This window comes from Homo sapiens, chromosome 17, assembly GCF_000001405.40.
Source record: "Homo sapiens chromosome 17, GRCh38.p14 Primary Assembly".
Classification (NCBI taxonomy): domain Eukaryota; kingdom Metazoa; phylum Chordata; class Mammalia; order Primates; family Hominidae; genus Homo; species Homo sapiens.
The window spans coordinates 20,934,747-20,961,644 of record NC_000017.11 but is presented as its reverse complement, the minus strand read 5'-3'; the positions used below and the strand labels follow the sequence as shown (position 1 = coordinate 20,961,644).

General features: G+C 42.0%; 1 protein-coding gene, 1 long non-coding RNA gene and 1 pseudogene across 25 annotated transcripts in view, besides 3 other annotated features; all 3 read right to left on the bottom strand.

Annotated features, from left to right (window-relative positions):
• The window catches only part of LOC124900389 (uncharacterized), a 61,221-nt gene extending 38,142 nt beyond the window's left edge, over positions 1–23,079 (bottom strand). For 5 of the 13 annotated variants that reach the window (XM_047437233.1, XM_047437236.1, XM_047437245.1 and 2 more), the window contains exons 1-4: positions 22,985–23,079; positions 5,292–5,679; positions 4,936–5,011; positions 3,243–3,343 (exon numbers count right to left, since the gene is read on the bottom strand). The gene's annotated coding sequence lies outside the window, so the exon portion shown is untranslated. Of the gene's footprint in view, positions 1–3,242; positions 3,344–4,935; positions 5,012–5,291; positions 5,680–12,203; positions 12,543–22,984 lie in introns of all 13 variants that reach the window. The other 8 variants (XM_047437238.1, XM_047437239.1, XM_047437242.1 and 5 more) reach the window with 6 other exon arrangements.
• Positions 1–23,079, bottom strand: part of LOC339260 (uncharacterized) — a 43,792-nt gene extending 20,713 nt beyond the window's left edge. For 2 of the 12 annotated variants that reach the window (NR_123730.2, NR_160714.1), the window contains exons 1-5: positions 22,985–23,079; positions 12,204–12,542; positions 5,292–5,451; positions 4,936–5,011; positions 3,243–3,343 (exon numbers count right to left, since the gene is read on the bottom strand). This is a non-coding gene — a long non-coding RNA (uncharacterized LOC339260). Of the gene's footprint in view, positions 1–2,947; positions 3,344–4,935; positions 5,012–5,291; positions 5,680–12,203; positions 12,543–22,984 lie in introns of those variants that run through there. The other 10 variants (NR_160717.1, NR_160718.1, NR_160712.1 and 7 more) reach the window with 8 other exon arrangements.
• On the bottom strand, positions 3,241–4,963 carry SPECC1P2 (SPECC1 pseudogene 2; annotated as a pseudogene).
• Positions 19,064–19,563: an enhancer, noted in NCBI's record as "H3K27ac hESC enhancer chr17:20845395-20845894 (GRCh37/hg19 assembly coordinates)". NCBI's record gives its function as "activates a minimal SCP1, AML or CMV promoter by ChIP-STARR-seq in primed H9 embryonic stem cells {active_cell/tissue: H9 hESC(primed)}" and the evidence as "EXISTENCE:reporter gene assay evidence [ECO:0000049][PMID:30033119]".
• Positions 22,095–22,389: a silencer, noted in NCBI's record as "tiled region #15661; HepG2 Repressive non-DNase unmatched - State 16:ElonW". NCBI's record gives its function as "represses a minimal TATA promoter and a strong SV40 promoter by Sharpr-MPRA in HepG2 cells {active_cell/tissue: HepG2}" and the evidence as "EXISTENCE:reporter gene assay evidence [ECO:0000049][PMID:27701403]".
• Positions 22,868–23,369: an enhancer, noted in NCBI's record as "H3K4me1 hESC enhancer chr17:20841589-20842090 (GRCh37/hg19 assembly coordinates)". NCBI's record gives its function as "activates a minimal SCP1, AML or CMV promoter by ChIP-STARR-seq in naive H9 embryonic stem cells {active_cell/tissue: H9 hESC(naive)}" and the evidence as "EXISTENCE:reporter gene assay evidence [ECO:0000049][PMID:30033119]".

The following is a 26,898-nucleotide window of genomic DNA, read 5'->3' as shown; positions in this document are numbered from 1 at the left end:
CATTAATGACAGAATGGATAAAGGTATACTCATACAATGGCCTTTAATTGAAGAAAATGAACAAATTACGGTATACGTAACAACATGGATACATCTCACTAACTTAATAATGTGTAAAAAAAACTAGATGTAAATATTACATAGTTTTTAAATTCCATTTGTGATAAAATTCAGATGTAAGGAAAAGTAACATAATGTTTAGGGCTGCATAGTTTTGTAAAGATCTGTTAAAGAGAAGAATTGTGAGGCAACGGTTACCTTTGGGAGTAGTGAGGGTTACGATGGGAAAATCGTAGGAGAGGTCTAGGGGAGCTGGCGCTGCTCCTCTTCTGGACGGGAGTGGTGACTGCATGACTTTTCATGTTCTAATCATTCAAGAAACTGTCATTTACATTTTGTTCGCTTTTATCTTTGTGTATGGCATTTCACAAAAAGGCTTAAACGTATCAGGTATCAATTCCTTATCTGACCTTTATAGAAAAAAAAAAAAAGCTTGCTCTTTGGTGCTCTCATAATGCTTAACCTTGCCTTTTACTTAAAGAATTCCAGGAACTGGCCGTAGGCGAGCCAAAATATCCAACCAAAGTTGTGACTGTCCCACCTCAGGAAGGAAAACTGAACTGGTTCATACAGCCTTGCTGCCACTGGTCAGAGCACCGGGTGGCCCATGACTCAAGACAGCCATCGCCAGCAGATATGGTGACCTGCAGCCCCCCACCCCTCCACGTGCTCTACACAGCCCAGCCCACATTCCCTACCTTGGTATCCATTCCTGCATTTTGCCTAATAAAAAACATCCCTACCCATGTTCTCACTTATAGGTGGGAGCTAAATGATAAGAACACATGGACACATAGAGGGGAATAACAGACACTGGGGCCTACCTGAGGGTGGAGGGTGGGATGAGGGATCAAACCAGGAAAAATAACTAATCGGTACGAGGCTTAATACCGAGTTGATGAAATAATGTGTACAACAGACCTCCACGACACGAATGTACCTATATGACAAACCTGCACATGTACCCCTGAACTGAAAAGTTTTTAAAAAGGGAAGAAAGAAGATGAATACAGAAACTCATTCTATTTTGTGTACAGTAATAAAAATAAAACATGGCTATAATTTGAGGTTCTAGGTGATGTAATATTCCTCCAGAGTATCCATTTGATTCCAGAAGACAGTCAAGATAGGAGAAGATCATCAAAATCCAAAGCCCATGTTTCTATGGGTTTTAAGACTGAACAAATAAAAGGCTTTTTAAAGATGCTAAGGAAGAATATTTTAATAAACTAATAGCTAGAAAGACATTTTAAGGAAGGAAACAAAACACTTAAAATCAAAGAAAAACAACACAAAAAGGCAACATTTCTCTTCAGTAAAATATAACTATAAACAAAGTTAAAAGATGACTAAGAAATAATAGCACTACATATGAAAAAAAGTTAAAAAGCACAATATATCAAGATTTCTTATAAACAGGAAAAAGATGGCCGGGCATGGTGGCTCATACCTGTAATCCCAGCAATTTGGGAGGCTGAGGCGGGCGGATCACGAGGTCAGGAGATCCAGACCATCCTGGCTAACACAGTGAAACCCGGTCTCTACTAAAAATACAAAAAATTAGCCGGGCGTGGTGGCGGGCGCCTGTAGTCCCAGCTGCTCAGGAGGCTGAGGCAGGAGAATGGTGTGAACCCAGGAGGCAGAGCTTGAACTGAGCTGAGATCGCGCCACTGCACTCCAGCCTGGGGGACAGAGCGAGACTCCATCTCAAAAAAATTAAAATAATAAAAAAAAAAAAACCCCAGGAAACAGACTAACACCTCAAAAGAAATACAAGCCAAGTATATGAGTTTCCATAGACACATACAAAAGATACATAAATGGCCTCTAAACATATGAAGAAGTGCTCAACCTTACTGATGAACAAAGCAAAACAAGTTATCATTGTTCATTTACTTAATCTTTAAAATTATTTACAGAGTGTGAAAATTCTGGGAAAACAGTACCTTGCATGCTGTGAGTGGGAGGGCAAACTGAAGGGCAATGTGTCTATCAAGTTTTTCAACATGCCGGGACAGGTCAATCTACTTCCTTCTCTAGGACTCCATTTTCCTTTTCTAGGAATCAATGTGTGGAAGATCTCAGCAAAGGCTCACTCGACTCCATCCTCATCTCTTTGTAGGGTGATTTACTGAATCATAAGAGACTAGGATGTATTTGCCTGAAGGGTGTATTTGCCAAAGTCTTAAAAGCTTGGCTCATCAAGTGGCCTAGTTTCTGTCGAAGAGGCCCCCTCTTAGAGGATCTGGAAGGTGCAAGGGAGTGTAAGGCTGCCCGTCTGCAGCTTCTCCTGGCAAGCATGGCTGGAAAGGCATTTGCTGTTCTGTGGCAGGGGAGCAGAGGTTCTGGGGTCTGTTTCACCATCATCTGGGCAGTGTGAGGCAGGCACAGAGCCTGTTTTGCAGGTACGGACTGCACCTGTGCCTGTGTGATCCCGAGGCTTATCCTATATCTTGGCAGCACTGGTGGTCCTAAGCAAGCACCTACAGAAAGACTTCCTGATTCTGGCAGAAACAGAAGGTCTTTTAATGGGTCAGCATTGAGATGCTCTGGGAACCCTTCCTGGAAGCTCAGTGGAGCCTACTGCCTTCTCCAGCCCTTCTAGTACCAAATGCCCTGGATTAAATTCCTTTCTGCTTAATTACAGTGATCTCTGATATTTGCAAATGAATCCTGATATATACCCTTATACAGAAATAGCCCCTTTAACCATCAAAAATTTGTACAAGGATCTTCCCTGTATTGTTTCTGTAATAAGTTAAACTCAAAACAACCTAAATGTCTATCAGTAGAATAGTGGCTAAATAAATCACCATATATTACGTAACTTTCTTTAAAAAATGAATCATTTCTCCAAATATTGAAATCTGAAGATGTCTTGGACGTATTTTTTCATTCATTCAACAAATATTTATTGAGCTTCTACTATGATGTGACCATGTGCCAGCCACTGTTACAGACAAGAGCTCTAACAGCAAGTGCAATAAACAAAAGTCTCTGCCCTCACAGAGCTTACGTTCCAACGGTAAAGTGAAATGGATTTCGGAATAAATGCGCAGTGTAATCAAATTTACAGAACACATACACACTCTCTCTCCACACTCACTAATATGTGTAAAGAAAAACATCTAGAGGAATACACAGCAAACCACAAGCAGCGGTTATTTCTGAGGCTCATCTACCTGCATTGGAGAGACAGCAGCTGCTGGTGAGGTCCTCACTGGTATCCCACTTTGGGGGATTCTAATAGTCTTATGGACAGAAATATTCAGTCCAGCTTCACCTGCCAAGAAAAGAGATGGGAACATTTATATGTTGATCCAGTTCAAAATAGCAAATAATACTTCTTAATTTGTTGTTACTTTTTTGGTGACTTAAGAAGTATCCCATGATGTTTAGTGTAACATTTACTCTATTATCCTTTTCTCCTCTGGACTAAAGCTGAATTGGAGAAATGAGAGGGCAGGAGGAGTTGGCTGAGTGGAGATCAGTCTTAGATGTAGGATAACTGAGTAAAATGCAAATGTTTAAATAATGAGGTGCCTCGGGGAGGAAGGAACAGGAAAGTTCTTGCACAAACTGTTACTGTTAATTCATTTCCCACCTTCACAGACTCACTCACTGGGCTTTCGGCTTCATATCTTTCTTTTTTTCTTTTTTTGAGATGGAGTCTCAGTCTTGTTGCCCAGGCTGGAGTGCAATGGCACAATCTCGGCTCATTGCAACCTCCACCTCTGGGGTTCCAGCAATTCTCCTGTCTCAGCCTCCTGAGTAGCTGGGATTACAGGTGTGCACCACCACGCCCACATAATTTTTTTTGTATTTTTAGTAGAGACAGGGTTTTACCATGTTGACCAGGCTGGTCTTGACCTCAGGTGATCCACCAGCCTCGACCTCCCGAAGTGCTGGGATTACAGGCATGAGCCACCACGCCCAGCCCTTCCATGTCTTTCAATATGCACAGTCTAATCATCTAATTTAGCTGCAAACTATTTTAGCAGAGACAACTAGGTACATCCTAGGATTAACTTTTACAACAGTCTTCCAATTCAATGGCATATTTGTTGCAGTCCAGGGAAGAAATATATGTTACTGTAGAGAGATGCACATTCTGTTTCTTCTATTTGCTATGTTTATGTGTACAGTATATGTATGAAGTATAGCTACGTATCTTTCTCATATATAAAGATAAGCATGACTAAAGTGGAATTGTGAGTCCATCAGACAATTCCAGGAAAAGCTGGGAATGTACCAAGATCAGGAGTGACAGATTAGCACAGGTGCTCAGGTACAAGACCAGGTAGAAAAACATCTAGCAGGTTCAAGATGGGGATGGCCAGGGGTGCCTACAAGAGGGCCAGGTGCACAGATGTGATGCCTCATTTCCTAGGAGGTGAAGTCTCCAGCTGACCCTTGTAATTCTCATGAGACGACAAAAAGGCAAATAGTAGTGACCTGAATTTAATGGCTATGAGAGGCAGAAAAGAAAGGTGACAAGGCAGGAACTGGATGGAAGGAAGAGGTAGAGAGGAAGAGGCTGCATTTGTGTTATTCATGGGCCAGGCTCTCCATCAGCGCCTCCCTGGAGCCTCAGCCAGGCTCCTGTAGGCAGTGGCTGCACCTGGTAGGACCTGGAAAGCACCCTTGTGATTGTAACAGCCAACGTGGAGCCAGGGTGGAGTAGAGACAGTTGACATATCAAATGTTGGGCCAAAGTTTGAATTTGGAGCTTTGCTTATAGAAAAAAAGTGATCAAATACCTGGGCATCCCAAGTCAAATGACTTGATAAGTGACTTAATGGTGGTTGTGGACTCTGAGGGCGTTGGAGATGTTCAGTTAACACAGACACCAGGCCACTGGCCAGGAGCATTTACCTTGGAGGACTCTGGCTCTTCATCCACAGGTCTGCATGGCAAAGAGCAAATCAGATTGAAAAGGTGGAGGACATCCCTATGGAAAAAAAAGACAGAAGAAAACAGAACTGACATGGAGAAGATAAAGCTGAAAGGAAAATTCAAAATTCAACATCCTGTTTTCTCTATCAGCTTTGGCTCTTTAGGAAATAATGTAGATATTGCTCTCAATTTTAAAAAAGCTGTTTTCTTCCAAAATGGTCAGAAATAATATTGTTATCTGTAGAGTGACTTGATACTAGCTCTAAATAAAATGTACAGCTATACTGTAAATTGTGAAAAATGCAAATGTTATTGATCATAAATATCTCACTTACTGTCAATGGTGGTTGCAAGGCTTGTCAGCAAGTGCTCCAACCCCCACGTAGCACACAGAGGTTGGAAAGATGAAATCTCAGAGCTCTCCTGCAGCTGGAATTTTGGGTGTGATTTAAGTCCCACCAATCAGAAAGACTTGGGCAAGACCTGGAATGGGACCTGAGTCAGGGAGAGAGAGGCAGGGCACAGGGTATTCACTATGTCGACAGAGACTTAGCAGAGACAAGATCCTTCTGGTGCTGGTAATTGCGGTGGCAGGTTTCCAAGTCCTGTCCTGGTGGAGGGAGCAGGTTCCCTGGTGGTCCAGTTGTGTGTGGAGACTTTGGGAGCTGCTCCTGGAAGCTTAGCCTTCCCAACAATTCTGCAAACCATTTAACACCTTTCTGCCTAAGCCAACGAGAGTGGGATCCATTAAACACGACAGAATCCTAACTGAAGACACTCTGCCTTCTAAGCATAAGAATGGTAACAGCACTCTAAAATCACACTGCAATTCTGCATGAGGTGAAGCTCCTGCTTGCACCAAATTCCCCAGTGTGTTCTTTGTGAGGTTTCTAAGTTTAAGCACAGACTCATAGAAAGTATTCTATGATAGATCATTGACCCAATCCTCAATCCTCTCAATGCATGGCTTCCTCATCTAGGGGACTTTGGCATGTCATGTGATCTCCCTGTGAATGAGCCAAGACAAGGACTCCCAGCCTTCTCATTGCTAAATCACTGCTCTCTTCATTATATCATATTGTCACAGCTGTTTTGCAAGATGACTAATTTACAAGAATAGTTCAAACAGAATGTTTCTGGAAGTGTATTTTAATAAGGTCAGTAGAAGTTTAAAATATTATTTACTGATCGTTTTGAAGTTAATCTAGCTACTCAAGCTTGTGTGATTAAATTTATGTGTACTTAATTCTCTAAGCTTTCTTCTGTTGCTTTGTAAACATGAATAGAATACATTTAACAGAAACAGAACTTAAAACACTTAAACCACACTGCCTTAAAATTGTTGACTTCACAGCCCCTTCTGAGTGAAAAAAAAAATCAGTAAACTGAAAACTCCACTGAAAAAAATTACCAGGAACTTTGGAAATTGTAGGAGGCTGGGCTTTTAAATAATGTTTTAAAAGGTTTACTGAGAGGAACTGGTTTTCATATTTTCCCCTTTATGTTACATAATACAATTCATATGCTTAAATGACAAGGTAAGATATAGAGAAGTCAGACCGGTGTTCATACTTTACAGAATAAAATCAGGCGGTGAATGCAGAAAGATAATGAAATCGGGTTAGGTCTGAGCAGAAAAATATCTCCTCTGTCTGTGCCAGCCACTCTCAGGAAGGTGAAATCAACAAACAAAATGGGCCACCTCCTTACCAGTCCATTCAAATGACTCAGTACCCAAGACCTCCAAGGACGATTATTTTAAATAATTCATATTCATTTCCTTCTTTGATAATTTAATAAGAACAAAATAGAGAAGCCTACACTCTGCTGAGGTATTCCCTTCAGTTATCTAAGTTTCTCTGGAATTCAAAATATCAAATGATAAATAGACTAATTTAGACTCTTCACAAGAAAAAAGCAAGGACACAAGAAATCAGTTTCCAGTACCCCTGCCTTCTTGCTTCAAACAGAGTCTCCTTGGCTAGAACAGTAAGAGTCAGTATGAGAAAACCCTGTCTTATTTAAGCACATTAGAGAAATGCCCACTACATACCCACCGTCTTATACAACAGCGATGTGTGTGTGTGTGTGTGTGTGTGTGTGTGTGTGTGTGTGTGTAGGGGGATTCACAAAACAAAGCCTGAATTGAATAACCAAAGAAAATGGTTATTAATAATGCTACTGTGTTCATTAGTATGTACTTTAATCATAAATAAGATTGAAATTCCTTGCAGAAGCCTATCATAGAATTGTTTAGAATCAATAACAGCCCTAGCAATAAATGAAGTTATTACATTTCCTCTGTTCCAATGAAGAAAACTCTGTATTCTATAAAGAATATTAATAAACAAATCTTTTTAAAGAATTTCAAAATAATTTAAAAAAATATTTTGCAAAATCTTTAAGCATATAGCCAGATATATCTTAGCAAATTCATTAAATAAAGGAAAAACTGCAAGATACCACTACTGGCTAAACATTTGTTCAAGGCTACCTACTGCCTGTAAGGCTGAGGTTAGGTTCTAAACTCAACCTGTAAAGTAACAATCACACATGTGGTCAAATAAGCCTTGAAAATCCCTCCAGTCACTCAGAAATATGTGCTTTTGTAAACACGATTGTTTATAAACACACCATCTCTCAGTAAGTCTCACACATTCACTTTCCCTCCAGCATTTCAGAGTTGGCTCCTTCTTTTTTTTTAGACGGAGTCTTGCTCTGTTGCCCAGGCTGGAGTGCAGTGGCACAACCTCAGAACCACGGCTCACTGCAAGCTCCGCCTCCCGGGTTCACGCCATTCTCCTGCCTCAGCCTCCCGAGTAGCTGGGACTACAGGTGCCCACCACCACGCCCAGCTAATTTTTTGTATTTTTAGTAGAGACAGGGTTTCACCATGTTAGCCAGGATGGTCTCAATCTCCTGACCTTGTGATCCGCCCGCCTCGGCCTCCCCAAATGCTGGGATTACAGGCGTGAGCCACCGCACCTGGCCTGGCTCCTTCTTTAGTTACATCCCAGATGAAATAGCTCCTTTGTGTTTAGGGGCCACATTTAAAAGAAAAATGAAGCATGTGTTCTACTTGCTCCCACCATGTAAAATTATAATAATAATAGGTAATTTTACTGAAACAAATAAATACGTGTCTGATATGACTCCACTGTATATGCCAGGCATGGTACCATGTGTCTAAAGTTACCTAATTTTTCCACAGAACTCCCACATATTAGCCTTTATTTTAGATGAAAATTTGACAAGAGTCATGTGGTTCATAAATGGTGAATCTGGGATGCAAATCCAGCTCTATTTGGCCATGTTTTCTCAAATTTTCTGTAGTGCGCAAGTGTACTGTGAGAAGTATAGAAGGTTCTAAAAATAATACTGACAGTATTTCTTCTTAAAATTTATTTTAGCCGGGCGCAGTGGCTCACATCTGTAATCCTAGCACTTTGGGAGGCCGAGGCCGGCGGATCACGAGGTCGAGACCGTCCTGGCTAACATGGTGAAACCCCGTCCCTACTAAAAATACAAAAATTTAGCCAGGCGCGGTGGCGGGCGCCTGTGATCCCAGCTACTCGGGAGGCTGAGGCAGGAGAATGGCATGAACCTGGGAGGCAGAGCTTGCAGTGAGCCAAGGTCGTGCCACTGCACTCCAGCCTAGGCAACAGAGCGAGAGTACATCTCAAAAAAAAAAATTATTTTAAGCATATTTAAGAAAAAATACTCCCGATATTCCAGTGTTATTTTTATATAGTAATCTGCTCTTGTGAGCTGACAACCCATGCCTGAGAACGACAGTTGGAGGCCAGACCACCCAGTGCTGTCACACACTGCAGGTGATGTGCACCCCACAGGCAGGCAGTGTCTCCAGGGAGCACAGCAAGGTGCACGGCCCTCCTCACTGAACGCCAGTCTGCCTTCTGTGTCTTCTCATTTAAGCACATACACATATATGTCTGTATATGTCTGTAATTGTTTTCCTTTAAAACTTTTATTTAACATCTCTAATTTGTTTCTTTCCTTGTTATGTTAGAGAATAGAGTCTTCAAATGTTTGTGACTGTCTGTAGCATTTATTGTAAATATAGGCTGGTGCTGCAAAAGTAATGGCAAAAATTAATTTTGCACCAACCTATCCTTCCTCAAGACATCACGTTATGTTGTCATTTATTCTGATCCAGGCACAGGTGAGCTCCTGGTATATGATGATTTTTAAAGTATTCAATGGTTAACTCTGGGAGGCGTTGCATGACACCGCTGCTACCTTCACAACAGGAAGATTAATATTTGTGAAGGGTGGGTCATGTCAACCACACGCTCACACCTGCCGGGCTCTTTCCTGAACACCTGGATGAAGCCCAGCCCAGGCCTTTTGGTTGATCTCCCAAGACTCCCCTCTGCCCGTCTAGTTTTTGGACTATTCACCCAGGCACCTGACGTTTTTTTGTTTTTATTTTTTATGTCCTGCCTCTGTGCCTTTGCTCATTCCATGCCCTTGCCTGGAATGCAATTTTCTCTAAATACTTACTGTTTTAGACAAACAAATCTAAGAGAAATCTGTCACTCTATCATGAGACATAAATTATGAAGTACTCTGTCTCTCAGGTGTCAAAAAATTATCTTCTGAATTTCACTTTCAAATTTCTATACAAGCATATATAACAATAAAATCAAACAGGATAAGCCAGCAGTTTGACCACCAGCATCTTAATCTACAAATCCCAACAAAAATAATCAAAGACACAGTAAAAATCTTGTAGTCGGGTATCATCTACAAGCTTAGACTTTGAAGAATTTCTACTGAGAGAGTGAGAGAAAACGGAAATACAGGACTTTCCCCCAATTCCCTTCCAGAGAAAATGGAGATATGGGAAACCTCCACTAACGCCCCCCACCCTAGAGGGCCAGTGCTGGAGAGGAGCACAAGAAGATCAAGGGCGTTCTGGCAAAGGATCAGGAACAAGAAGATCTGACATCAGAGGAGGCCATGGGCCCCAGGCACAAAGGACAGTAGTGACAAGGGGGAGGGCAGGAAGAGCCACAGTGTACATCTAAAAGGCAGGAGGGGCACACACACAGACTCAGAGAGCGGGCTCTGCATTCCAGGCTCACCAAGCAGAGAAGAAACTGGGCACAGGTGAATTTCCCACTAGGCACTCGCCCTTCTCTACCTGAGCTTCTGTACCTCCCAATATGTAATATAAATGCGTCTTCAAGAGCCTTCCATCGCGTTTAAGTCATGAGAAGATCAGAGGCACTGTCAGGCAAAGGCAGTGGATCTGAGCAGAATCCAGACACAGACCTGGGGCAAACATCAGGCCCTGCCACACCTGGATCTGTTTCAGCAGGAGAAGGTGACAGGCAAAATCATGCCCTGCTCGATGCAAGTATTTTATAATACAAAGTGAAGGGGAAACTGCACTCAAGAGAACCGACATTTGTAAATTCATGACTGGAAACAGAGTTTGACACTGACACCATCTACCTTGAAATTCAATAAAATAAGAAGGCAGGTCGCAGTGGCTCATGCTGTAATCCCAGCACTTTGGGAGGCTGAGGCATGTGGATCACCTAAGGTCAGGAGTTCAAGACCAGCCTGGCCAACATGGTGAAACCCCGTCTCTACAAAAAATTAGCCAGGCATGGTGGTGTACTCCTGTAGTCCCAGCTATTTGGAAGGCTGAGGCAGGAGAATTGCTTGAACCCGGGGGTGGAGATTGCGCTGAGCCAAGGTCACGCCGCTGCACTCCAGCCTGGGCGACAGAGTGAGAGTCTGTCTCAAAAAAAGGAAATAAATAGATATATAAATAAATAAAATAAGGAAACATAAACGGAGAATGACAACTTAAAATAAAAAGATAAATTAATATAAGCAATCTAATAACCCATGAGACATATTTTAAAGCAGAGCTCAAAAGAAAAAGAAATAGGGGCGTTATCTAGGGCAGGTCTCTGAATGTAGATGAAATAAACCGTGTCAAGGTAAGATGTCAATTCAGTGGGCAAAGAACAGTTCTGGTAATAAATAGCGCTGGCATGATCGGCTATCTACCTGGGAGAGAAAGACTCACACTTCACATCAGATTAAATAAAGAGAGGTGGATCAAACACCTGCATGTGTGTACATAAAATAGATGAACACATTTAATAGCATATTTGCATAAGATTGGGGAGAGTAAATCTTTAAAAAACCAGAAACAAGATGACACTGGCAGTTTATATAACAACATAAAATTGTCTATGACAAAGATGTTAAGGCCAAAAGGCTCATAACATACTGAGGACAAAAACACATGCTTCGCTAGGCATGGCGGCTCACAATTGTAATCCTAGTGATTTGGGAGACAACGCAAGATGATCACTTGAGCTCAGGAGCTGAAGACCAGACTGGGCAATAAAGTGATGCCCCATCTCTACAAAAATTAGAAAGGATTAGCCAGACATGATTGTGCATGCCTGTAGTCCCAATTACTTGGGAGGCTGAGCTGGGAGGATTGCTTGAGCTTGGGAGGTCGAGGCTGCAGTAAGCCGTGATCGCAACATTGCACTCCAGCCTGGGTGACAGGGTGAGACGCCATTTCAGAAAAAAAAACAAAAACCGTCCTCCATATAACAAAAAAACTCACATCCCTAATAAAATACTGAGTTATAAAACGATGAGAAAAAAAAACAAAAGAACCCACATTCCTTAATAAAATACTGACTTATACGCTGATGAGAAAAAAACAATCAGCTCGGTGAAAATATAGGCAAAAGTGCTAAACTACCAATTCTAGAAGAGAAAATTCAAGTGTTAAAGCTGACACTGGAGTTTCTGACTCTCCCACCAGGGAAAGGTTAGCCGACTACTCCAGAGAACAGCAGAGCTCAAGGAACCTTGAAAACTACCAACTCTTCCCATCTCTTTTAACAGAGGTAGGAGGCAGGGCTGGGAATGAGATACTGCTGGTTGGCTACAAAGATGAGGCTACCGCCTTCCTTCCCCATGTACCTTAACATCAGTTATTCTGACTCTGAAATAAAATATCTGTGAAAATATAACAGGACTGAAGATCATCGATGGGTTAGACACATTCCACCTGTGTAGGTACTGGGTTCCTCTAATAAATGCTGACTTGCATTCCGGCTTGGGCACTTCATCTCCTGCCCATCGGCCTGGCTGCAATCAACCCGGTGAGTGCCCATGGATGCAAACAGAGCTTAAGAACCAGGCAATCCTGTGTCAGGATCCAGGTGCTTTTTGGATCTTACCTTCTCTCAGTTGTCCTTGAGGACCTCGTCAGAGAATGCTCTGCAAGTTCTTTGACTGTGGCTGAACCAAGAATGACTTTTGAGTTCTCATTAGATGACTGTCAAAGTCAAATTGAGTTTCAGTGAAGAACTCACTCAGCCAAGATGGAAACACTGAATGGCTTCCGGAGCTTTGAGGGTGCGAGTTGGTTTCAAGTCTTGCTCTTGGGGTAGGTTCTGGAAGTGGCTGAACCATCAGTGAGTAACTCCCAAATAGTCAACTCTTCAGAGGGGGCAGCTTGCCAGAGAAGTGCAAAAATCAGACAAGAAACCGGCAATCACCGGTACTTGTCTGACTTCCTGCCAAATGCAATGACAGACAAAAATGTTCTGAAGCCTAATTTCAGTACCATGACATGTTCTCATTGGTTCATTCTAAAATTTTGAAATGTTTTGTAGTAAGGGGTTAAACTGCTAGATTGGGAGGTAGGTTTGTAAATCACTGGAAAATCAAAAAAGAAACATTCTGTGTTAAAAAAAAAAAAGGTGACGTTAAGATTGAAGATGCAGGATGCAGCATAGGGAGTCCTAAACCGCCAGGACCCATGCGGAGATTTCCTAGAATATCAGGTTCATGCTACATGGTCTGGTCCATGTCTCAGAATATACCTAAGAAACATGGCATCTCATACAAGAACCTGGCCTGTGTCTCAGAATATACGTAAGAAACGCAGTGTCTCATAGAAGAATCTATTCAGGGCCACCATGGAAACTCAGGACTTGTCTTTTATCATTTATCATTAAAATAACGTCCATGTGAAGCAACCCAAGTCCAGACTCGGATTTTCTTCCAATGACAGACAACAGGGAATCAAGACAGAGGCAAACAAACAAAAGCAGATGCAGAGGCCACCCAGAATGGCCTCACTACTGTTTCAGTAGGGAACACTGTGAAATCTAGTTTTCCTATTCTCCCTCTACCTCCACTTAAAATTCACATCCTTTGGTGACCAGAGGGTACAGGTGTGATTATAATGATCTTGCTGGGTAGATGTGTAGTCCCAGCTACTCAGGAGGCTGAGGCAGGAGGATCACTTGGGTTCAGTAGTTCGAGTCCAGCCTGGGCAACATAGTGAGGCCCCCCCCCATCTCTAAAAATAAATAGCTAAATAAAATAATGATCTTGATTTTTATTGGTTTTCAAATATTTTTAAATTTTATTTTATAAGTTCCAGGACACATGTGCAGAATGTGCAGGTCACACAGGTAAACGTGTGTTATGGTGGTTTGCTGCACCTATCAACCCATCACCTAGGTATTAAGCCTGGCTTGCATTAGCTATTTCTCCTGAGGCTCTCTCCACACTCCCCACCCTGTGCTAAGAGGCCCCAGTGTGTGTTGTTTCCCTCCCTGTGTCCATGTATTCTCACTGTTCAGCTCCCACATATAAGTAAGAACATGTGGTGTTTGGTTTTCTGTTCCTGTGTTAGTTTGCTGAGGATAACGGCTTCCAGCTTCATCCATGTCCCGCAAAGGACACGATCTTGTTCCTTTGCATGGCTGCATAGTATTCCATGGCATATATGTACCAGATTTCCTTTATCCAGTCTATCGCTGACGGGCAACTGGGTTGATTCCATGTCTTTGCTATTGTGAATAGTGCTGCAATGAATGTACATGTGCATGTATCTTTATAATAGAATGGTTTATATTCCTTTGGGTATATACCCAGTAATGGGATTGCTGGGTCAAACAGTATTCCCAGTTCTAAATCTCTGAGGAATTGCCACACCGTGTTCCACAATGGTTGAACTAATTTACATTCCCTCCAATAGTGTAAAAGTGTTCCTGTTTCTCCACAACCTCGCCAGCAACTGTTTCTTGACTTTTTAATAATCATGGTTGTAGGCAGGGCCCGGTGGCTCATGCCTGTAATCCCAGCACTTTGGGAACCTGAGAGGTGGGCAGATCACCTGAGGTCGGGAGTTCGAGACCAGCCTGACCAACATGGAGAAACCCCGTCTCTACTAAAAAATACAAAATTAGCCGGGCGTGGTTGTGCATGCCTGTAATCCCAGCTACTCGGGAGGCTGAGGCAGGAGAATTGCTTGAACCTGGGAGGCAGAGGTTGCAGTGAGCTGAGATTGCACCACTGCACTCCAGCCTGGGCAACAAGAGCAAAACTCCATCTCAAAAAAAAAAAAAAAATCGCCATTCTGACTGGCGTGAGATGGTATGTCATTGTGATTTTGATTTGCATTTCTCTGATTATCAGTGATGTTGAGCTTTTTATATTTGTTGGCCACATGGATGTCTTCTTTTGAGAAGTGTCTGTTCATGAATTTTGTACACTTTTTAATGTTTTTTCTTGTAAATTTGCTTAAGTTCCTTGTAGATTCTGGATATTAGACCTTTGTCAGATGGATAGATTGCAAAAGTTTTCTCCCATTCTGTAGGTTGTCTGTTCGCTCTGATGATAGTTTCTTTTGCTGTGCAGAAGCTCTTTAATTAGATCCCATTTGTCAATTTTTGCTTTTGTTGCAATTTCTTTTGGTGATTTCATCATACAATCTTTGCCCATGTCTATGTCCTGAATGGTATTGCCTAGATTTTCTTCTAGGGTTTTTATAGTTTTGAGTTTTACATTTAAGCCTTCACTCCGTCTTAATTTTTGTATAAAGTGTAAGGAAGGGGCCCAGTTTCAATTTTCTGCATTTGGCTAGCCAGCTCTCCCAGTACCACTTACTATACAGGGAATCCTTTCCCCGTTGCTTCTTTCTGTCAGGTTTGTTGAAGATCAGATAGTTGTACATGTGCAGACTTCTCAGTTCTCTACTCTGATCCATTGGTATATGTGCCTGTTTTTTTATGAGTATCATGCTTTGGTTACTATAGCCTTGTAGTATAGTTTGTCCTCTACCATCCTGTGCTTCATATGCCTGGTAGCTTGTTTTTAGCTTTGTTTTTGCAATGTATCCATACTGATACACATCATGCTAGGTGGTTCCTTTAGTTGCTGCATAGTATTCCACTGTCTGCAAAAGAAACTATCAACAGAGTAAACAGATAACCTACAGAATGAGAGAAAATATTTGCAAACTATGCATCCAATACAGGTGTAATATCCAGAAATCCATAAGGAACTTAAATAAATTCATTAGCAAAAACAAAACAATGCCATTAAAAAGTGGCCAAAGGACGTGAAAAGACACTTTTCAAAAGAGGACTTACACCTGGCCAACAGGCATATGAAAAAATGCTGAACATCACTAAACATTAGAGAAATGGAAATAAATCAAAACCACTGTGAGATACCATTTCACACCAGTCAGAAAGGCTATTACCAAAAAGTCAAAAAATAACAGATGCTTGTGAGTTTGCAGAGAAAAGGGAACACTTACACACTGCTGGTGGGAATGCAGATGAGTTTAGCCACTATGGAAAGCAGGCTGGTGATTTCTGAAAGAACTTAAAACTACCATTTGACCCAGGAATTACATTATTGGGTATACACAAAAGGAATATAAAGCATTCTACCATAAAGACACATGCATTCGTTCATATGTTCATCACGGCACTATTCACAGTGGGAAAGACATGGAATCAACCTAAAGGTCCATCAAAGGTAGACTGAAAAAAGAAAATGCGGTATACATACACCATGGACTACTATGTACACAGCCATGAAAAAGAATGAGATCATGTCCTTTGCAGAAACTTGGATGGAGCTATAAGGCCATTATAGTTAGCAAACACAGAAACAGAAAACCAAATACCACATAGTCTCACTTGTAAGTGGGAGCTAAACATCAAGTACACATGGACGCAATGAAGGGAACAACAGTCGCCAGGGCCTACTTGAGGGTGGAGAGTGGGAGGAGGGTGAGAATCAAAAAGCTACCTAGCGGGTACCATGCTTATTACCTGGGTGATGAAATTATCTGTACACCAAACCCCCATAACATGCAATTTATCCATGTAACAAACTTGCACATGTACCCCTGAACCTAAAATAAAAGTTAAACAATAAAAGAAAAAACAAAACACTGTAATAAATATCATTGTCCCTTTTCTATAGTCCATTAACTAACATTAGTAAATAGCTGTATATTTACCAAGTAATCTAAGCTTGATGCCTAACAGATTTCTTTCTAGATTGGGGCAGAGGGTGTCTTCGTATAAGAAAATATTTTAAAGTTACATTTCATGTGCACAACCTGACTGTAAGCTCTAAGGGGACAGGGACCTTGTCTGGTTTATTCACCACTGCATCCCCAAGTGTCTACATAGTGTCAGACATACAGGAGGCACTTAATGAATATCTGATGAATGAATGAATGAATGAACACTGGAAGGCAGCACTACAGGGTCATTCACTGGGAAGCTGTGATAAAGAATAAGAAAGGGAGGGGAGACCTGGAGACAGAGCAAGATGGCCAAATAGAATTCTCCAGCGATTCTATTCCTCCCTGAACTAACACCAGATGGAACAACTATCCACACAAAAAAGCATCTTCATGAGAACCAAAAATCGGGTGAGCGTTCACAGCGCCTGGTTTTCACATCGTATCAAGGAAGGAGGAACTGGAGAAAGGGGGAAAGACAATCTCAAATCTCCTACACCACCTCTCCCTCATCTCCCGGCAGCAGCCACACGTGGTGCTTAGACGGAATCTGTGCACCCAGGGCAGGGAGAGCTCAGTGATTGTGGGACTTTACCTTGAAACTCAGCGCTGCCCTGTCACAGTGGAGAGCAACACAAGGCAGAATTCAGCCAGCACCCATGGAGGCAGCATTTAGACCAGCCCTAGCCAGAGGGGAATCTTCCATCCCAGTAATCAAAACCCGAATTCCGTTAACCCCACCATCACCACTGCAGGCTAAAGTGCTTTGGTGTCCTAGACAAATGTGAAAGCCAGTCTAGGCTACAAGGATTGCCATTGCTGGGCAAGGGCTGGTGCTGCACTGGGCTCAGAGCCAGTGAACTTGGGATGCAGGTGACCCAGTGAGACACCTGCTGGTGTAGCCAAGGGAGTGTTCGCATCACACTTCCTCCAGCCGAAGGCAGCCCAGCTCACAGCTCCAGGAGGAGAGAGAAGAGTAAAAAGCATTTTGCCTTGCAACTTGGATACCAGCTCAGCCACAGTAAAACAGAGCACCAAGTAGAGTCCTGAAGCAGCCATTCAGGGCCTAGCTCTCAGATGACATTTCAAGACACACCCTGGACCAGCAGGGAGCCCACTTCCCTGAAGGGAGGAAGGACCCAGTCCTGGCAGGGTTCATTACTTGCTGATGAAAGAGCCCTTGCTTGGGTCTTGAATAAACATCAGTGGTAGCCATGAGTACTAGCCACGGGCCTCTAGCAAGATTCAGTATTACGGTGGCATCACGTCTGACCCAGCGCAGTCCCAGTGGTGGTAGCCAGAGGGGTGCTTGCATCATCCCTCCCCCAACTCCAGGCAGCTCAGGATGAAGAGAGAAAAGAGGGGTTAACGCAAACACGAGAGAGCAATCAACACAGACACATTCTTTACAGAGCCTGTAGACCTTAATAAGAACTAAGGATTTGAAGAAGTATGTAGGTCTAAAAACTCAACAGAGAACAAAATGCACCACATTTTAAAAACCACCTTACCCAAACTAATCCAAACATAACATGAAATAGAAAAACTCCTGCCTACTAAACAAATTGAATAAATTCTTGAAAAGAAACCCAGCAAACAAAAATGTTTCACAAGTAAAACTCCAAGCTCATAATTATAGAATACTCCATACATTCAAGGCAGAAAAACACCAAAATTTCCCAAACTGCTGGGAAATAAAGATAGTATTTTTAAAGTTTTGTGTGGAGCCAGTATTAGATTGAGAACACAATTGGACCAGGACGCATTATGGAACAAAAAAGAAGAAAATTAGGTCACCTCTTTCATAAACAGTATGTATCTCCTCTTTCATAAACAAAGCTACAAATATTCTAAGCAAAATATTACATGAATGAAACCACCTATGAAAACACAGATTAGGCCGGGCGCGGTGGCTCACGCCTGTAATCCCAGCACTTTGGGAGGCCGAGGTGGGCGGATCACAAGGTCAGGAGATAGAGACCATCCTGACTAACATGGTGAAACCCCGTCTCTATTAAAAAATACAAAAAATCAGCTGGGCATGGTGGCGGGCGCCTGTAGTCCCAGCTACTCAGGAGGCTGAGGCAGGAGAATGGCGTGAACCCGGGAGGCAGACCTTGCAGTGAGCTTAGATCGCACCACTGCACTCCAGCCTGGGCGACAGAGTGAGACTCCGTCTCAAAAAAAAAAAAAAAAAAAAACCACATAAACCAAAACAAAAAACAAACAAACAAACAAACCACAGATCAATACCAAGTGGAATATACCCCAAAATGCAAGGCTCCTTAACATTCAAAATAAATCATGTAAGTCATCCCATTAGCACAAAAATACAGGCAAAAATAATAAGATCATTTAGGTTAAGTTTTTAAAAAAACATTTAATAACACTTAAAACTGAACCATAAAAACGAGTCTGAGTAAAACATAAAAGATGGCAACTTCTTTAATTTGATGGTTTGTCTAATATGAGCCTGTAACAAACAACATAATTAATAGAGAATCATGGGAAGCTTTTTCCCCCAGTGCAGGACCAGACGAGGATGCCTGCTATCACTCTTTAATCAGCATTGTACTGGAGAAACAATACAGCAAGAACAAAGAAATAAAAGGCATTAGGATTTTTTTTAACCAAAAAAAATTGTCATTATGTGTGTGTGACACTATTACATGCTTAGACAATCCATAACCCCAAAACTGTTACAAAAACATCCTAGATACATGATTGTTATCAACAAGATTACTGTGTACTAGTATGAAATCAACAGAAAGTAAATAACGATCAAACTAGAGAATAAGTATCTATGACAAAAATGAGGCAATCAAGGATTAATTTACAGATTTAAGATAAATCCTTCAAATCAATATAGGAACCAAAAAAGGACCCTACAGAAACACGCACAGAATGAGCAAAGCATATGAAGAAAAGTAAGGCACAGAGGCCAATCAACATTTGCTAAACTCTACCTCACATGAAACCTGCCACAGCAAGTTCCAGGTGAGAAGATCCCTGCAGAAACACTGCAGGGCAGGATCCCAGGAGGCAGGACCACAGGAGGAGGTGATAGAGGCCCTGCAGTGGAAGGGTGTCAGGCCCAAGAGGGCCAGGTGGCTCCAGACCTCCTGCTCCAGCTTCCCCTTACTCCCCACATCAGGCACAGCCCCACGTGAGCGCCCCAATGCAGGGAGGATTCTGACTGCTCATGTCTTCTCCACCACTGTGCATCCCCCGCCAAAGGCAGCTCCTTGCCCATGACATCATTCCAGCCTTCCCTTTTATGGGTCACCTCTCCCTCCCCAGTCATGATGCCAGAATCCACCCCAGGAGAGTAGAGATGGGAAATCAAACTGTGGCACCATGAGTGGAGACCCTGGAGGCAGACATGGGTGCAGGCACTGAGAGTGGAAACACGTTAGGCCCTGCTGATGGGCGACAAGCACAGAGGATGGGGACATTCAAGGGCAGACATGAGTTGCAGGCACAGGAGAGAAGACCTGGGCTACAGTCACGGGGGATCCAGATACAAAGGGAGCTCACTGACTACAGATGCATGGCAGAGAGGCACAGCAGGGACAGACATGGGTACAGGGGCAGGACAGAGGAGTAGGTGAAGGCTGGCGTGGGCAGGAAGCACAGAGATAAAGACACCCGAAGGTAGATGTGGCTGTAAGCTGAAGGGTGGAGTCACAAGAGTCCTAATGTGGGCTGCATGGACAAGGGCTGGAGACACAGGAAGACAGGCATGGGAAGCAGGCACACTCAATGACAGGCCTCTGCTGCAGTAACAACAGACAGAGATACCCAACGAAAGAGACTGGCTGCAGGTACAAGCACTGGGGATAGGAGTTTTGGGCATAGTCTCCTGGGAGAAATGATCCAGAAAAAGGACAGAAATGGACTAAAGGCACAGAAGGAGACACACGAGTGCAGACACGACTGAAAAGCATGAATGAAAACACTGTGGACATGGATTAGAGGGACAGAGAATGCAGCAAACATAAGCTGGCATGGGCCGAAGCTCAGGGGACAGACAGACGAAAATATCAGAATGGGCTGCAAGCACAGGGATTGAGGCACTGGAGGACTGCTACTGCCTGAAGGCTAAGGAGACCGCAACACTCAAAGCAAGTAATGTGTTGGAAGCACACAGGATGGAGACTCACACGGCTGGCATGGGCTGCAGGTGCAAGAAATGGAGACTTGACAGCTGGCATAAACTGCAGGCAGAGGACAGACCAGGTGACAACACACAAGGGCAGACATGGGCTTCAGTCATTATGGGATGGTGATACTGGAGAGAAGATACAGGCTTCAGGCACAAGGAGGGAGACACACAAAGCCTGACATGGCTGCAGGCATACAGGGTGGAGACAGTGGGAGGCCAACGCGGCTGCAGACACAGGGTCTGGAAACACCTATGGGAAATTGTGGCCTGCCAGATAAATCCCCGCTTAGAGAGAAACAGGACACACGTTAAGGGAATGTGTTAGAATAGAAAAAATATTGAAAATCAATCACATAAACCTTTCAAGAACTAAAAAAGATTAGAACGAAACAATGCAGAATGAAAGTAATAATAAAGAGCAGACATCAATGAAATAGGAAAAAAAATTGTAATGGAGACAAATCAAGGATAAAAGTTGGTTTATATAGCCAGGCGTGGTGGCGGGTGTCTGTAGTACCAGGTAGTTGGGAGACTGAGGCCGGGGAATGGCATGAACCCAGGAGGCAGAACTTGCAGTGAGCCCAGATCGCACCACTACAATCCAGCCTGGGCGACAGAGGAAGGCTCCGCCTCAAAAAAAAAAAAAAAACTTGGTTTATAAATGTTAATATACTAAATACACCACTAGCGAAACTGACTAAGGCAAAGAGAAAAGACGCAAAAGACCAATATCAGGAATGAAAACAGAGGCCTGCTCTACAGAGCAGTGTATCAAGATACTACGAAAATTCTGAGAAATACTTAGGACTGCAAGCTTGACAAGAGAGATGAAATTACACACATTGAAAAATACACTTACAAAACTGGACACAGAAATAACGTAAAACCAGAAAACTACCATATATACTAAAGGATTTGAATTGTTAAAACAACAACAACAACAAAACAGCTAACAAATAATGTTCCACAAGTAAAATTCCATGCCCAGACTAAAGAAATATTCCAAACATTTAAGGAAGTAAACACCTAAATTTCTCAGACCCTTCCAAAGAGAAGAAATATAGGGACTATTTTTCAATTTTGTTTTGTGAGGCCAGCATCACGTTGATACCACAATCTGAACAGGACATTAGAAAAAAAAAAGTATGGACCCACTCTTTCATTAACAGAAACACAAATATTCTTTTTTTGAGATGCAGTCTCGCTCTGTCTCCCAGGCTAGAGTGCAGTGACACAATCTCAGCTCAATGCAACCTCTGCCTCCCGGGTTCAAGCAGGTATCCTATTTCAGCCTCCAAAGTACCTGGGATTACAGACGCCCGCCACCGCATCCAGCTAATTTTTGTATTTTTAGTAGGAACAAGGTTTTGCCATGTTGGTCAGGCTGGTCTCGAACTCCTGACCTCAGGTGATCCGCCCGCCTAGGCCTCCTAAAGTGCTGGGATTACAGGCGTGAGCCACCGCATCCGGCCAGAGATACAAATATTCTAAGAAAAATTGTATAATATGAATTAAACCACATATGAAAACATAACACATAGATACCAAGTGGGATATACTAAAAAATGCAGGATTGGTTAACATTAAAAAATAGATCATGTAAAATATCCTATTTGCAGAAAAATAGGAGAAAAACATTACTATTCAGAATATATGTAAAAAAAGCATTTATTCAAATTCAACAATTAGTCATAACTCTTAGCAAATGCAAAGGAAGGCAGCTTCCTTAATCTGATTAAGCTTGTCTAAAATGAAATTACAACACAGGACCACTGAAGCTTTTCCACTGTAATCAGAACCAAGCAAGACTTCCTGGACATACCCCCTCTATTTCACACAGTGCTGGAGGTGTAATTGGGACAATAAAACAAAAATAAAGGTATAAGAACCAACATTTAAGCAATACAGCTGTTATTGTATGTGGCTGACACTATTATGTACATGAAAAATACACCACAATCCAAAAATGATGGTTATGAATATGTGAATTAAGCCAGGCTACAGGATGCAAGATGAATACATAAAATCAATCAGATTCCTATGTATCAGCAAGAAAGAAATGCAAAATACAATTAAAGAACAATGACCAGACTAGGAAACAACTATCTACACTAGAAATGAGCCCATGAAGAATTAATTTATAAAATACATTTTAAAATTATTCAAATCAATGTAAGAACATAAATGACCCAACAGAAAAACCAGCACTGAAAATGAAGAAAAAGATGCAAAGGCCAATATTCACGAAATTTTGCTTCGCTAGCTTATTTCCAGTGCCAGATGACAGGAGGCCCACAGGGACCCAGAAGGCAGGACCCCAGGGAGGTGACAGTGCCAGCAGCAGGAGGGCCGGACTCTGCCTTGGGCCGAGTGGGGCCACAGCTCCCCGGTGGCCATGGGGTGAAGCCCTGGCAGCCTGGCGCTCCGGGCCCCTGCACACGCTTTCCTCCCTCTGCCCCGTTCCTCTCTCCCTGTGCCTCGGCCCCGTGGGATGCGCTCGCATCCAGACTTACCAGGCCCAAGAGGTTGGGAGAATGGAGAAGGACTTGGGACGGTCCTCCAGGAACACATGGAGGACGCTTTGCCTACATCTGGGACACCCTTCTCTGAGGCCTGGCCTCAAGGCAGGCGCGCACCACACACGCTCCCGGTCGCTTCTGAACTATGACGACCACTGCGCAAGGAACCTTTTTGACAACTCTTATTGGATAATAATTTCCATCTCTGATTGCACAATCTTAACCAATCAGAGTTGGAGACTATTATCCAATCCGTGTTGTAGTACAGAGTCTGCTCTCATCCTATCAGAACGAGGCTTCCAGGATACCTCATTTGAATACAGCTATTATAAAAGGGAGGCAAATGTCCACGCCTGCTGTGGGGGTGGGCTCACGTGCATCTTCTCTGCGTTGGGGTCAGCCAGGGAGCGTGTGCAGAGCACCTGCATTGTAGACTAGCCGTGGAGAAGGATGTCCCAGGTGCAGGCCAAGTTTCATTGTGTTCATGGAGGATTTTTCCTGTGGCAAAGGCTTCTCCATCTTCCAACATCTCAGGCCTGGTGAGTCTGGATGTGACCGCTTCCTGTGGGAGCCCAAGGCGCACCTGCGTCAGGAAGCGAGACCCGCACTGGGCAGAGACCACCAGCATCTGATCCTGACCCGGCTCACCGAGCACTGTGTGCCCTGTGTCGTGAACAAGGACGCTTACTGTGTCTGTGGCTGGCTGTGGAGGCTTCCCTGGGGCTCCCAGGCCCTGCCTCTGACCCTCAGCCTTGGGAGCTCAGGGTCCCCTCGCACCTCGGGGTCCGTGCCCAACCACACGATGCCCCCTGTAGCCTGTTTTCAGAGGTCATTCCCCGCCCCAACACACACACTCTGCAATATCTTAAATTATATATATCTATAAATGATATATACATATATATGTGTATATATATACATATAGATATATTTTTTTGAGACAGAGTCTTGCTCTTTTTGCCCAGGCTGGAGTGCAGTGGCATGATCTTGGCTCACTGTAACCTCTGCCTCCCGGGTTCAAGCGATTCTCCTGCCACAGCCTCCCGAGTAGCTGGGATTACAGGCGTCCGCCACCATGCCTGGCTAATTTTTTTTGTATTATTAGTAGAGACGGGGTTTCTCCATGTTAGCCAGGCTGGTCTCGAACTCCTGACCTTGTGATCGCCCGCTTTGGCCTCCCAAAGTGCTGGGATTACAGGCATGAGCCACGGCGCCCGGCCAAATGATATTCTTGTGGGCAGTCTGACTTACGTTGAAAATTTAACTGAATTGTAATGCATTAGACTTAGTGTTCTCTTCCATCCCTATTTCTTTCTCTCTCTCACACAGGGATACACACATTCTCACAAACACATATATAGTTTTGTTTTGCTGGTAGAAATATAATTAACAATTGCCTACATAGCTGTAAAAATGAATACATTAAAATAACTTCATTTCACTGCATCAACAGACACATTTTCCTGCGCATACAGAGCTCTTCCCCTTTCAAAAGGGAGCCCTATTAAAATTTATTACATCACATGTTAAAACCAAATGTTTAGAGTGTGACTCACAAAGTAAGCCAAAAGATTATGTCTTAAGTAGCAGATAAACAAATCCCATATTTTATCCAATTAACCCTGTGATTACCTGGATTTTACAACATATGATGTCTTATACTGAAAACATGAAGCTCATATGATTGCAATTAATACATATTCGTCCACAAATAAAACAATATGTAATACTTGGTTGCTTACTTGGCTATTGTGTTATGGCTCTCGTGGGTTTCTGTGCTTTTAATTTTTGTATGGTAGTTTTAAGTTACATTTGAAATACAAGTCTTAAAGGGTAATGCTATACATATTGGAGTCCTACAACAATGTTCACAGACTTTTGTAATTTATGGGTTGAATCCTCTAATAGAGTGTACCATTTTACCCGTATTATTTGAATTTTGTAACTATGTGGATGTTAATCCCTTTTGTACTAATTGTCTTTCTTTTAAGAAAAACTAAGTGTTCCAAATGAAACATATATCTTAACGCTATTTCAAACAATATAGTAAATTAGGACTTTAAAAATGAAGACACATTGACAGCAGCAAGCTTTAGCTGATATAAGCATTGGAGTCACTAGGTTTTATTCGTTTCATAATAAATACAAATTTTTAAAGACTCATTATTTGTAGCCATTCTGAATGAATTTAAAAGCTTAATGCATTTTACTGTCTTTTAAAATTTTATAATAGGCTTTTGTAAATAATTTAAAACTATAGGATAGCCTAAAAGTTATGAAATCATAGCTTCTGAGATTAATATACTGCATTTCCTTTAGTTTTCCCCCCATGTATCATTTTAAATCATATATATGTGTAATTGAATGGCAATATAAAAAAACTGTAATGAAGCACTTTCAGCAGAATAGTATAAAGTCTCTTAAACTTAATTGCTCTTTAATATTGCCAATATATGGTAGAAAAATATCTATTTCCTTTCACCCAGTTTGTAAATGTTAAACCACCAGCATTTCAAAGATGAAGGCAGCCAACATGATGTCCCTGACTGTGAACTTGTGAAGAGGTGAGCATTATCAGCTCCCCTAACCAGTCTCAACTGGCTTTACCGTATCCTGCACTGAGACCTTTCAGTTACTTTCAGGTGTTTGCTATGAAAAGTACATTTTACAGTGAACGTGTTTGTGCAAGCACTATCCTCTCTGGGAATTTTTGGTAGTGAAGATTCAAAACAACATAACTCTTCTTGAAAGTCCATTTGCTTTCCACAGGGTTGTGCCAAAAATAACAAAGATTCAAATTGTATGTCATGAATCATTTCCTTCTTTCTCTTTTGGTCTGGAAATACTACACTGCTTGGTAAAATTTGTAAAAGTCTGTTTACTGGAGGAATTATTTTATTATTCCTGCATTACTCTGTACATTGATAACTTATTCAACTACTTATGTGTATCAAATTTCATGTCCCTTTCTTCTTAGTCATCATTCAGTTTCCTCCTTCAATCGATTATTTAAAAAATTTTCATTCAGATAATATATTCAAGATTCTAAGTGTCCATATCATAAATGCAAATATGTTGATGAATTTCTTCAAATTGAGCATGCCTGGTTAGCAGGATCCCAGGCTGAGAAACAGAACATTATCTGCACCACAAGTCTCTCTAGTACTCCTCTCTAGTCTCTACCTGCCGTTCCTTTCCTGAAGATAACCTTATCCTAAATCCTAACAGCATTGACTTGTTTTGCCAGTTTTTAAATATAGCAATATGTACTATTTGGTGTCTGGATGCTTTGATTTAGCAGTATGTTTGTAGGATTCTTCCACATTTTTCTGGAAGTGTCATTATGTGACTATGCCACAATTAATTTATAAATTTTAATGTGGATGGGCATTTATGCAGTTTTCAGGTAGGACCGTCACCATGACTGCTTCTATTAACATTCTAGCACATGTCTTGGTAAAAATCGGTACTATTTTCTGTTGGGCACATAACTTGCAGTGGATTTACTGATTCTGAACACTTTTTCAGTTGTAATAGATACCGCCAAACAGAATTCCTAAGAATTTTTGCCAGCTTAAACTCTCATCAGTAGTTTATATAAAAAAAAAACATTAGTTTTTTTGGTCTATTTTCATTATAATCACTAGAGTGTGTATTTACTGACACTAAGTTTAAGTTAATTTTCCTTATAAGCTGAGCCACTTTTAGTGTGTTACTGTCCCTATGTATATATATATAATTTTGAAAATATATATTCAAGCCTTTGGCTAGTTTTTTTTGGATCTCTTGACTTACCCTTTTCAATTTATAGTAGTTCTTTATACATATTCTGTTCTTTGGTACATTCTTTTTGTGTATTCTAGATGTGAGTCTTAAATTGTATATATACATAGTGAACATCTTTTACT